The sequence below is a fragment of the Homo sapiens genome, chromosome 12 (assembly GCF_000001405.40).
Source record: "Homo sapiens chromosome 12, GRCh38.p14 Primary Assembly".
Taxonomy (NCBI): domain Eukaryota; kingdom Metazoa; phylum Chordata; class Mammalia; order Primates; family Hominidae; genus Homo; species Homo sapiens.
This window is the reverse complement of record NC_000012.12, coordinates 97,574,135-97,588,379: the sequence shown is the minus strand read 5'-3', so window position 1 is coordinate 97,588,379 and position 14,245 is coordinate 97,574,135.

The window sequence follows — 14,245 nt, the reverse complement described above, 5'->3', positions numbered from 1 at the left end:
ATGGACATAATATATAAAAAATATATAAAGATAAATAGAGGGTCTGGATAACATTATCTTCCTCCATATTTACATTATTCAATGTAATAGTAACAAGGCACAGGGAGCTATTTCAACTTAAATTAGTTAAAATTAATTAAAATGTGTAATTTCTTCATCACACTAGCCACATTTCATGTGCTCAATAGCCACATGTGGCTAGTATCTACATCATTAAACAGCACAGATATAGAACATCTCCATCATCACAGAAAGTTCCCTTGGACAGCTTTACTCCAGAGGACTCATTTTTGCTTCTGGATGACAGTCACTCCATTGTGAGGTGAATAGAAGCTGGGTTTTACTCTTTTTGAAGCTAGATCTATTCCTGCTTGTTTTTATTCCTAAGGTGAAGCCCTTCAGGGTTCCCAAGTGAAACCCTGAGTCATTTAGCAGCCCCATTACCTCTAATTTGTTGTCTCTATAGCTGTTAGACTGCCCATAGGTCTGGTCATCTTCTTCTTTTTTTTTTCAATCATACTTTAAGTTCTGGGATATATGTACAGAACGTGAAGGTTCGTTACATAGGTATACAAGTGCTATAGTGGTTTGCTGCACCCATCAACCCGTCATCTACATTAAGTATTTCTCCTAATGCTGTCCCTTCCCTTGCTCCCCATCCCCCGACAGGCCTTGGTGTGCACTGTTCCCCTCCCTGTGCCCATATGTTCTCACTGTTCAACTCCCACTTATGAGTGAAAACATGCGGTATTTGGTTTTCTGTTCCTGTGTTAGTTTGCTGAGAATGATGGTTTCTAGCTTCATCCATGTCCCTGCAAAGGTTATCATATTCCTTAGATAACCAATAAATATATTGGCTCTGGGTTTGTCATTCTTTTTTATAGCTGCATAGTATTCCATGGTGTATATGTGCCACATTTTCTTTATCCAGTCTATCATTGATGGGCATTTGGGTTGGTTCCAAGTCTTTGCTATTGTGAACAGTGCTGCAATAAATATATGTGTGTATGTGTCTTTACAATAGAATGACTTATAATCCTTTGGGTATATACACAGTAATGGGATTGCTGGATCAAATGGTATTTCTGGTTTAGATCCTTGAGGAATTGCCACACTGTCTTCCACAATGGTTGAACTAATTTACACTCCCACCGACAGAGTAAAAGCATTCCTATTTCTCCAAATCCTCTCCAGTATCTGTTGTTTCCTGACTTTTTAATGATCACCATTCTAACTTGCAAGCGGTGGAATCTCACTGTGGTTTTGATTTGCATTTCTCTAATGACCAGTGCTGATGAGACTTTTTTGACATGTTTGTTGACCACATAAATGTCTTCTTTTGAAAAGTGTCTGTTCATACACTTTGCCCACTTTTTGATGGGGTTGTTTGTTTTTTTCTTGTAAATTTGTTGAATTTTCTTGTAGATTCTGAATTTTAGCTGTCTGTCAGATGGATACATTGCAAAAATTTTCTCCCATTCGGTAGGTTGCCTGTTCACTCTGATTATAGTTTCTTTTGCGGTACAGAAGCTCTTTAGTTTAATTAGATCCCATTTGTCAGTTTTGGCTTTTATTGCCATTGCTTTTGGTGTTTTAGTCATGAAGTCTTTGCCCATGCCTATGACCTGAATGGTATTGCCTAGGTTTTCTTCTAGGGTTTTTATGGCTTTAGGTTTTATGTTTAAATCTTTAATCCATCTTGAATTAATTTTTGTATAAGGTGTAAGGAAGGGGTCCAGTTTCAGTTTTCTGCATATGGCTAGCCAGTTTTCCCAACATCATTTATTAAATAGGGAATCCTTTCCCCATTGCTTGTTTTTGTCAGGTTTGTCATAGATCAGATGGTTGTAGATGTGTGGTGTTATTTCTGAGGCCTCTGTTCTGTTCTATTGGTCTATATATCTCTTTTGGTACAAGTACCACGCTGTTTGGGTTACTGTAGCCTTGTAGTATAGTTTGAAGTCAGGTAGCATGATGCCTCCAGCTTTGTTCTCTTTGCTTAGGGTCATCTTGGCTATACAGGCTCCTTTTTGGTTCCATATGAAATTTAAAGTAGTGTTTTCTAATTCTGTGAAGAAAGTCAATGGTAGCTTGATGGGAATAGCATTGAATCTATAAATTACTTTGGGCAGTATGGCCATTTTCACGATATTGATTCTTCCTATCCATGAGCATGGAATGTTTTTCCATTTGTTTGTGTCCTCTCTTATTTCCTTGAGCAGTGGTTTGTAGTTCTCCTTGAAAAGGTCCTTCACATTCCTTGTAAGTTGTATTCCTAGGTGTTTTATTCTCTTTGTAGCAACTGTGAATGGGAGTTTGCTTAGGATTTGGCTCGTTGTCTATTATTGGTGTATAGGAATGCTTGTGACTTTTGCACAATGATGTTGTATCCAGAGACTTTGCTGCAGTTGCTTATCAGCTTAAGGAGTTTTTGGGCTGAGACAATGGGGTTTTCTAAATATACAATCATGTAATCTGCATACAGAGATAATTTGACTTCCTCTTTTCCTATCTGAATACCCTTTATTTCTTTCTCTTGCCTGATTGCCTTGGCAGAACTTCCAATACTATGTTGAATAGGAGTAGTGAGAGAGGGCACCCTTGTCTTGTGCCTGTTTTCAAAGGTAATGTTTCCAGTTTTTGCCCATTCAGTATGATATTGGCTCTGGGTTTGTCATTAGTTTGAGATATGGTCCATCAGTATCTAGTTTATTGAGTGTTTTTAGCATGAAGGAGTGTTGAATTTTATCAAAGGCCTTTTCTGCATCTATTGAGATAATCATGTGGTTTTTGTCATTGGCTCTGTTTATGTAATGGATTACGTTTATTGATATGCATATGTTGAACCAGCCTTGCATCTTGGGGATGAAGCCGACTTGATGAGATCATGGTGGATAAACTTTTTAATGTGCTGCTGGATTTGGTTTACCAGTATTTTTTTATTTTATTTTATTTTATTTTATTATTTTATTTTATTTTTTGAGAAAGAGTCTCATTCTGTTGCCCAGGCTGGGGTGCAATGGCACAATCTTGGCTCATTGCAACCTCCATTTCCTGGGTTCAAGCGATTCTTGTGCCGCAGCCTCCTGAATAGCTGAGGTAATTTTTTGTACTTTAGTAGAGACAGAGTTTCGCCATGTTGCCCAGGCTGGTCTTGAAATCCTGAGCTTAGGTAATCTGCCTCCCTCGGCCTCCCAAAGTACTAGGATTACAGGCATGAGTCACCGCACCCAGCCACCAGTATTATATTGAGGATTTTCGTGTTGATGTTCATCAGGGATATTGGCCAGAAATTTTCTTTTTTTGTTGTGTCTCTGCCAGGTTTTGGTATCAGGATGATGCTGGCCTCATAAAATTAGTTTGGGAGGGGTCCCTCTTTTTCCATTGTGTGGAACAGTTTCAGGAGGAATGGTACCAGCTCCTCTTTGCACCTCTGGTGGAATTCGGCTGTGAATCCATCTGGTCCTGGGCTTTTTTTCATTGGTAGGCTATTAATTACTGTCTCAATTTCAGAACTTGTTATTGGTCTACTCAAGGATTCGACTTCTTCCTGGTTTAGTTTTGGGAGGGTGTATGTGTCCAGAAATTTATCCATTTCTTCTAGATTTGCTAGTTTATTTGTGTAGAGGTGTTTATAGTATTCTCTGATGGTAGTTTGCATTTCTGTGGGATCAGTGGTGATCTCTCCTTTATCATTTTTTATTGTGTCTATTTGATTCTTCTCTCTTTTCTTCTTTATTAGTCTGGCTAGTAGTTTATCAATTTTGTTAATCTTTTCAAAAAACCAGCTCCTGGATTCATTGATTTTTTTGAATAGTTTTTGGGTCTTTATCTCCTTCAGTTCTGCTCTTAGTTATTTCTTGTCTTCTGCTAGCTTTTGCATTTGTTTGCTCTTGCTTCTCTAATTCTTTTAACTGTGATGTTAGGGTGTCGATTTTAGAGCTTTCCTGCTTTCTCCTGTGGGCATTTAGTGCTATAAATTTCCCTCTACACACTGCTTTAACTGTGCCCCAGAGATTCTGGTATGTTGTGTCTTTATTCTCATTGGTTACAAAGAACTTATTTATTTCTGCCTTAACTTTGTTATTTACCCAGTAGTCATTCAGGAGAAGGTTGTTCAGCTTCCATGTAGTTGTGTTGTTTTGAGTGAGTTTCTTGATCCTGAGTTCTAAATTGATTGCACTGTGGTCTGAGAGACTGTTTGTTATGATTTCCATTCTTTTGCATTTGCTGAGGAGTGTTTTACTTTCAATTGTGTGGTCAATTTTAGAATAAGTGCTGTGTGGTGCTGAGAAGAATGTATATTCTCTTGACTTGGAGTGGAGAGTCTGTAGATGTCTATTAGCTCCACTTGGTCCAGAGCTAAGTACAAGTCCTGACTATCATTGTTAAATTTCTGTCTCATTGATTTGCCTAATATTGAGAGTGGGGTGTTAAATTTTCCCACTATTATTGTGTGGGAGTCTAAGTCTCTTTGTAGGTCTCTAAGAACTTGCTTTATGAATCTGGGTGCTCCTGTATTGGGCACATATATATTTAGGATAGTTAGCTCTTCTTGTTGCATTGATCCCTTTACCATTAGGCAATGCCCTTCTTTGTCTTTTTTGATCTTTGTTGGTTTAAAGTCTGTTTAATCAGAGACTAGGATTGCAAGCCCTGCTTTTTTTGGCATTCCATTTGCTTGGTAAATCTTCTTCCATCCCTTTATTTTGAGCCTATGTGTGTCTTTGCACATGAGATGGGTCTCCTGAATACAGCACACTGATGGGTCTTGACTCTTTATCCAATTTGTCAGTCTGTGACTTTTATCAGGGCATTTAGCCTGTTTACATTTAAGGTTAATATTGTTATGTGTGAATTTGATCCTGTCATTATGATGCTAGCTGGTTATTTTGCCTATTAGTTGATACAGTTTCTCCATAGTGTTGATGGTCTTTACATTTTGGTTTGTTTTTGCATGGCTGGTACCAGTTTTTCCTTTGCATATTTAGGGCTTTCTTCAGGAGCTCTGTAAGGCAGGCCTGGTGGTGACAAAATCCCTCAGAATTTGCTTGTCTATAAAGGATTTTATTTCTCCATCACTTATGAAGCTTAATTTGGCTGGTTATGAAATTCTGGGTTGAAAATTATTTTCTTTAAGAATGTTGAATATCGGCCTTCACTCTCTTCTGGCTTGTAGGGTTTCTGCAGATAGATCTGCTGTTAGTCTGATGGGCTTCCCTTTGTGAGTAACCTGCTCTTTCTCTCTGGCTGCCCTTAACATTTTTTCCTTCGTTTCAACCTTGGTGAATCTGACAATTATGTGTCTTGGGGTTGCTCTTCTCAAGGAGTATCTTGGTGGTGTTCTCTGTATTTCCTGAATTTGAATGTTGGCCTGTCTTGCTAGGTTGGGAAGTTCTCCTGGATAATATATTACAGTGTGTTTTCCAACTTGGTTCTATTCTCCCCGTTACTTTCAGGTACACCAATCAAACATAGGTTTGGTCTTTTCATATAGTCCCATATTTCTTGGAGGCTTTGTTTGCTCCTTTTCATTCTTTTTTCTCTAAACTTGTCTTCATGCTTTATTTCATTAAGTTGATCTGTAGTCTCTGATATCCTTTCTTCTGCTTGATTGATTTGGCTATTGATATTTGTGTATGCTTCACGAAGTTCTCATGCTGTGTTTTTCAGCTCCATCAGGTCATTTATGTTTGTCTCTAAACTGGTTATTCTAGTTATCAATTCCTGTAACCTTTTATCAAGTTTCTTAGCTTCCTTGCATTGGGTTAGAACATACTCTATTAGCTCTGAGGAGTTTGTTATTACCCACCTTCTGAAGCCTACTTCTGTCAATTCATCAAACTCATTCTTTGTCCAGTTTTGTTCCCTTGCTGGTGAGGAATTGTGATCCTTTAGAGGAGAAGAGGCATTCTGGTTTTTTGAATTTTCAGCTTTTTTTGTGCTGGTTTTTTTTCATCTTCGTGGATTTATCTACCTTTGGTCTTTGCAGTTGGTGGCCTTCAGATGGACTTTTTGCGTGGTTGTCCTTTTTATTGACACTGATACTATTCCTTTCTGTTTGTTAGTTTTCCTTCTAACAATCAGGTCCCTCTGCTGCAGGTCTGCTGGAGTTTGCTGGGGTTCCACTCCAGACCCTGTTTTCCTGGGTATCACCAGCAGAGGCTGCAGAAGAGCAAAAATTGCTGCGTCCTCCTTCCTCTGGAAGCTTCATCCCAGAGGGGCACTCGCCAGATGCCAGCTGGAGCTCTCCGTATGAGGTGTCTGTTGACCCCTGATGGAAGGTGTCTCCCAGTAAAGGGGTACGGGGATCAGGGACCCACTTGACAAAGCAGTCTGTCCCTTAGCAGAGCTCGAACACTGTGCTGGGAGAACTGCTGCTCTCTTCAGAGCCGGCAGGCAGGAAAGTTTAAGTCAGCTGAAGCTGCGCCCACAGCCGCCCCTTCCCCCAGGTGCTCTGTCCCAGGAAGATGAGAGTTTTATCTATGAGCCCCTGACTGGGGCTGCTGTCTTTCTTTCAGAGATGCCCTGCCCGGAGAAGAGGAAGCTGCAGTCTGGCTACAGCAGCGTGGCCACTCTGTGGTAGGCTCTGCCCAGTCTGAACTTCCCAGTGGCTTTGTTTACACTGTGAGGGGAAAACTGCCTACCCAAGCCTCAGTAATGGCAGATGCTCCCGCCACCAAGCTCAAGTGTCCCAGGTCAACTTCAGACTGCTGTGTCGGCAGTGAGAATTTCAAGCCAGTGGATCTTAGCTTGCTGGGCTTTGTGGGGGTGGGATCTGGTGAGCTAGACCACTTGGCTCCCTGGCTTCAGCCCCTTTCCAGGGGAGTGAATGGTTCTGTCTCGCTGGCATTCCAGGCGCCACTGGGGTACCAAAAAAAACCTCTTGCAGCCAGCTTGGTGTCTGCCCAAATGGCCACCCAGTTTTTGTGCTTGAAACCCAGGGCCCTTGTGGTGCAGGCGCTCAAAGGAATCTCCTGGTCTGTGGGTTGTGAAGACCATGGGAAAAGTGTAGTATCTGAGCCAGATAGCACTGTCCCTCATGGTATGGTCCCTCAGAGCTTCCCTTGGCTAGGGGAGGGCGTTCCCCGACCTCTTGTGTTTTCCAGGTGAGGCGACGCCCCACCCTGCTTTTGCTCACCCTCCGTGGGCTGCAACCCCTGTCTAACCAGTCCCAGTGAGATGAACTGGGTACCTCAGTTGGAAATGCAGAAATCACCCGCCTTCTGTGTTGGTCTCACTGGGAGTTGCAGATTGAAGCTGTTCATATTCAGCCATCTTCCTGGTCATCTTCTTAATTCCATGGCTGTCACTTTCTGCTTGGCCTCCCAGGCTTTACTCCAGGTACCACTTATAAATAAGCAAGTGAATTAAATTGGGGGAAAAAAACCCAGCAACAATTGCTGAGCTTTCTTCAATGCCCTTTCTTTCTCTCTGGATCATGGCCAATTAGTACTGTCGCTCTTAGCATCTCTCAGATATCTTCAAATAGATTTTTTAAAATCCAGCTTTTCTAGTTATTTCAGCAGGGGGTTAGTTTGATACAAGCTCAACCATTATAGCCAGAAGCAGCATCTTCCCATTCTCTCTATAGCTCCCTGCTGTCAGGTTTTCATCTTCCCATGGAAATATGGAAATATTAAACTATTCTTGTCAAGGTCACTAATGACCTCTCTGTCATCAAATTCAGTGGTCAGTTCTCATCTCACATGGACTTTCAGTGGCATTCAAATGCTCCTCCAAATGTATATATTCAACTTCCTACTTGACTTTTCAAAATAAAAATTTAATAGTCATCTCAAATGTAATGCATATGGTTATAAATTCTGGATCTCCCCATTCTGCGTCTCCCTCAATCTTCTGTCATCTCCATAAATGACAGCTTTATACAGAATTCTAAGTGCACTGGTGAAATACTTTGTAATCATCTGACTCCTTTCCAGTGACTTTCCATTTTACTCAGAACACCACCCAACCTTCAATCCCACAGACTCTGAGCCATAAATAATCTGTCCTCCCTCTACCTCTCTGACTTCATTCTCCTGCCATAGTTCGTGTCTCCTGTTCTACCCCAGTTATGCTGGTCTCCTTGCTGTTCCTTGAAGATACAAAATAGCTTCCTTCATCGCATCTTAAACCAGCTGTTCCCTCAGCTTAGTTATGCTTTGTCCAGATATATATGAGGTCTTTGCCAAAACATTACTCCTCACAAAAGCTTTAGCTGATTATTCCATGAAAATGAGTACCTTTCTATCACTGTCTACCCCTTTACCTTGTTTTGTATTTCTGTTATGTTTTTATCACTACTTAATAAATTATTAAGTAGTGATGAAAAGATGTATTTACTTGATTTTTGTCTTTGCTAGAATGCAAGCTCTACTGGAGCAGAGATATTATCTGTTTTATTACTGCTGTATTCTCAGTGTCAGCCATACTAATATAAAAATAATGCATCATCCCCATTTTACGGTTATAAATGGAAAAAACAAAGAGGTTATTCACTTTAATCCAGGACATAGAGCTAGTGAGCTAGGACTGAATCTGGTAGCTTGAGTCCAGTGTCCATTCTCTTAGCTATTTCCTTGTATCCTCTTCTGATAGAGGAGGTTTTAATTAATAGTCTGGGCTATATGAATCCACACAACTTCTTTTGCTTGTAGAAGTTGGGCTCAAGACAAAACACAACAAAATAAAACAAACAAACAAAAACAGTGTTATCTGGCATGCCCACAAACCCTCCAGAATCCTTCTTGTTTTCTAAAAAGATGAAAGTGGAAGGGAAGAATCCTTATCCCTAGTGGGAGCAAGACTGAGACCCCTTATTAAAAGCACTTCCAATGTCAAGGCAAAATAAGACAAAAGTTCAAGAAAAGAGGAGGCAGAAGAGGGAAAGGCAGAAGAGGAAAGGGAAGAATGGAGGAACAGAGGAAAAAGAGAGGGAAAGAGGAAGAAAGCATGCAGCCTCGTGCATGTTCAGATTTTACTTTTTTTCACATATACCAAAACCATACCACAATTTAACCTTATAGTTGAATAACTATTATTTTCATGATTCTTATTCAAGTCAGGGAGAGACAGGAGGTGTAAAAGGAGTCATGAACTCTTCTTAGAAGACAAAGCACACACTTTCTCTTAATAGTTCCCATTGGTAGAATAGAGAGAAGAAAGCCAAGGAAAATGTAGGCCTAGTTGGACAACAGAGGAACCATGTGATGAGAAAATCTTCTCTTAGAAAGACCCAGAGCAAGCAGAGGTAGGATTAATCTGGAGAAGCTAATAGTGTCTGTCTGCTAATGGTTAGACTATGAATGGGTAGGAAGCTCAGTATCTGTCTACTAACGGTTAAACTATGAATGGGTAGGAAGCTCAGCAACTTATGAATAAAGGAATTTAGTAGAGTCTACTCAGGTTATGTGTTTAAGATTGGAGGTTAAATAAGCTCTCGCAGAAATAATACAAAGCCTAGTTAGAAAAGAAGAAAGGCATTTGACCTGTATTTCCCATAAGTTTTTAATTTCTAAATGTTTGCTCTGAAAAAGGGCTAAGGGATTTGCTACATTTTGAGGCCATCTATTCTATGCATGGACAATTATCAATGCATGACATAACTTATTTACATATGTAGTTAAAGACTTCCTCTCTATAGCTTTGCCAACTGGTGCTACTTTTGCCTTACAGAGTTGTACTTGTAAACTGTGTTCATTTTCCCAAATACCAGTTCTTTAGGTAATTAAAGGCAGGATTCACATTCCTCTATAGATCTCCTCTGTTATGTTCTCTACTCTCCTGTTTCAGTTTTCACTCTAGGTAAACTTCCAGTTGTTGGCTGGACATTTGGATCAGGAAGTCATCTTGCTTAGATCTCAATTTCAACGTGATTAAAACAGAACAGAATCACTCCTACCCCTAGAGCAACTCTTCTCTTGACTTTCTCATCTGCCAAGAAGTCATTTTTGACTCTATTATTTCTCTACTGCAATCCTGAATTAAATAGATCACCATGTCTTTGTGGACATTATCCCATTTGTTCCTTCCTTCCCATCTCCTCTGCCTTAACTGGAATCTATGCCATAATGACCACTCCCTTTGACTTGTAATTGATGTCTTCTCACCTCAGCCTGCTCTTTTTTCAACTCATCTAATATATCCCAGCTAAACCATATTCTTATCAAAATTGTCAGTGCTTTCTAATGGTCATTTAATACAATACAAACTCCTTAACCCAGTATTTGAGGCAATCTACACTATGGTCTGACTCTATGAGATTGTCTTGTACCAGATTGCTATTAGGTTGGTGCAAAAGTCATTGTGGTTTTGCCATTACTTTTAATTGCCATTACTTTTAATGGCAAAACTGCAATTACTTTTGCACCAACCTAATATATCAACAAAAACAACAACAATAATTAAAATGTATTGACTACTTCTGACTCTCTACTATGTCTCGTATAAATCATACCTTCTAGAACAATGTTGTCCAACATGGTAGCCACCAGATACATGTGGCCTATTGAGCACTTAAAATGAGGCTAGTTTATATTAAGATGTGCTGTAAATGTAAAATATATACTGGATTTTGAAGACTTAGTATGCAAAAAGAATGTACTACATCTCACTAGTTTTATATTGATTACACGTTGTAATGATAATATTTATATATATATTAAGTTAAATAAAAAATCAAGGCCAGTTGCGGTGGCTCACACCTGTAATCCCAGCACTCTGGGAGGCAGAGGTGGGTGGATCACTTGAGGTCAGGAGTTCGAGACCAGCCTGCAACATGGTGAAACCCCATCTCTACTAAAAATACAAAAATGAGCTGGGCACGGTGGAAGGCACCTATAATCCCAGCTACTTGGGAGGCTGAGGCAGGAGAATCTCTTGAATCTGGGAGGCAGAGGTTGCAGTGAGCCAAGACCGTGCCACTGCACTACAGCCTGGGCAACAGAGCGAGACTCCGTCTCAAAGAAAAAAAAAAAATTAAAATTACTTTTAACAGTGTCTTTTAAATTTGTATACTGTAAGTCTTGGAAAATGTAGAAGTACATATATGGTTTGAATTTGTGGCTTAAATTATATTTCTATTGAATAGTTTTGCTTTGCTGTGACAAATAAATATGTGCATGAACAAAAAAAGGAAAATATATAGAAATACAGCATTTTAAAAACGTGACAGGATTTGGGGATGAGTCTTGCTTTTTTTTCAAAATAATTGTTATCATTTTAATTGTTTATAATAAAAAGTATAACACCTAGTTAAGTTTAAAAATTGTCATATCTATCCCTCAAGATAACTCTTTCTACAGGAAGCTTTTTTCGGGAGTCTCAGCCAAAAGTAATTTCTTCTTCATTGTATTTCTTCTGTGTGTGGTTCTGAAATGTGCAGCACAGAGAACCACCCAGGGTGTATCTAAAAAATTACCAGCTACCCAGGCCAATTGAATCATCATTTCTTGGGATGGGGTCTATTATCAATACAATTGATATTATCAATATCCCCATCTGTGGATGGGGTCTATTATTAATACAATATTAATAAAAGCAACATTGAGAAATAGCAATGGGTCAGGCTGTGGCACTTATTAGATGCTTCCTTTTAGTACAGTAACTTGTCTATTTGATATTTTGTCTCCTTTATTAGACTTAAGGTATGCAACTTTGCATCCTCCATGCTACAAGGTTTTGTATGTCACAGATCATCAATAAGTATCATTAAATAAATGCTGAAAGTTGAAAAGCATTTCCATAAATGGAATCACTGTAGGTAAATTTAGCAAATTCTGTCAATTACTGGGTTATTTATTTCTTACCATCCTATGATGTGCATACTATTATTATTCCCATTTTTATGAAGATGAGAAAATGAATTTTCTGAAAATGAAATAAAGTAGATGTGACATCCCACTAACCAGTGACAGGGTCAGGATTTGAACACAGATTGAATTGACTGCAAAGCACCAATGGCTAATTACCATTGTCCTGGAAAAATAGCAGACATTATTGTTCTCTATATTAAGTATGACCAAAATGCAGTCTGCCCAGCAAAGCATGAGACCAATAAAACAAGACAGGTGAAAAACTTAAACCTTTATGACAAGAGTCTAGTGGTGGCACTGAGTAAAGAAGAAAGTTTAGCTTGTACTGAAAGGAGGAGTACATTTGAATGTGTTGCAAAAGCTTACATTTTGATATTTTCTCACATTAGAGTGAAAATCTTTGAGTAGTAGCCAACTAAATCATATGTTGGGCTGAATTTAATTCATCGAACATTTTTTGAGGGTCTCCTATGTGCCAGGCACATAGGTCCTTAGCATACAATAAAGCAGAGCCTGACACATAGTAAACATTAGGAATGTTGCACACATTGTTGAGTTCTTGAATGCCTGAGTAATGAGTAATGATTCATAAAACACAGTTTCTGCTCAAAAGGTACTCACAGTCTGGTGGGGAAAACAGTTAAGAGACAATTATAGCACCATCTGATCTGTGTTATAAAAGAGCTAAGTCCAGAGGGGAGGGTGGGCCAACATAAGGGCCACCTAGCTGAAGCCTCCCGTGGAAGAAAAAGGCCCCAGTACCTAATCTCTTGCATAGAGGGGAAAGCTTTCAGCTACAGAAGGCTATGGATCCCTTCTACTTAAAATATCCAGGATCCAGGAGTGTGCCCAGCTATTTTTAATTAGCACTGCCGATAGGAAATGTGTTATCTCATGGAATGTAATGCCATCCATGCAGGAACCCAAGGAAGCCTAAACATTACTCTCAACTCTATCTCCTCCTTCCCTGCCTATGTTCGATTGGTTGCAAACTCCTTCTTAATAGTCCTCCTTAATAGCTTTCTAATCTGCCCCCTGTAGTCTCCATCTCCATCACTACCACTGTAGTTTGGGTCCTGATAAATTCTCTCCCGGATTACTGTGTCAGCCTCCTGACGCGTCTCTCTGCCCCCATCTTATCTTATTCTCCCACCCTGCAGCTAGAGAGATCCTCCCGAGAACCAAAGCTGATCACAGTTCTCTCTGTCTCTGAATCTTAAGTGGCTCTCTATTGCACACAAGATAAAATATAACTCCTTATTTGACATACCCTGCAGGTCTCTGCTTGAATCTTCTCTTCATAGCCAGTGATTCTGATGTACTGAATTGATTACCTATCTTGCATCTTGTCGTGGTGGATGATGATTCTAAGCTTACCACGGGCTGCTGCTTTATCCTGAACGCTCTACATTCCTCCTTCAGCTTTCTTCACTAGGCTTCCTCCAACTTACCTTTCAAATCTCAGCTGAGATGTGACTTCCCTAACAAGCCTTTCCTTGTTTGCCAAGTCTGGGTGGGGGATGGCTCAATCTTCTAATAGAGTAGTTATCATGCTGCATTACAATTACTTTCCCCACTTCAGCCTGAGGGTCTTGCATCAGAGAGAAGTCGGTGTCTTTCCAGCGTCTATGTCTTATGCCTAGCAAAGCACCTATCACTTAGTAGGAACTCAATGAATGCGTGTTAGGGTAGCCTTTCTAGTCAGTCAGCACCACAACGAATACCCTCTTTCCTTGAGTAGGTATGATAATCTAATTAGTGAGGCTGAGAAACTTCTGCAAGTCAGAGGTCAGATGGTGGTGGTAAACAGAGGTCTGTGGATTGTCCCAGTGGATGAGGACCAACTATGCAATATGTATTATATAATCGGTGCTAACTGAACAGGCCAGAGAAAATGAGCTTGGAACCAAAAAGCTCTCCCTTGGCCAATCTAGTCAGTGTAAAACTGTCCAAACCATCATTTAGCTAGCCACCTGGAAATACCTAGTTTCCCAAATAATACCCTGACAGCCAAAATTGAAAAAATTTCCCATCACCAGTGAGGTTTTATTTTTTTTAATTTTCTGTTCCAATGACAAGAATGTAAAAGTATGTAATTCTCTATACAAATGACAAGAATAGAAAAGTCTGAGTATGGTATGAACTTCATATCTTATTATGTATTACATTTTATTAGGCAGAATGATATCAAAGTTAATAATGTGAAGTTTTTGTGTAGGAACTGCTACTATTATCAGTAAAAATACAACGCTGAAACAAAATTATAGAAAAGGAATATTACACTTTTGTTCCTAAAGAATTTGCATTAAGCTCAAAGAGAGCAAATAATGAAGAATGAAAGGAGGCTTTGTTATTCAGCAATTTCTGTGATCTGCCAAAATGTCAAATAAACCATTTAATCAATCAGAAAATTAAAGAATGTGGCAAAC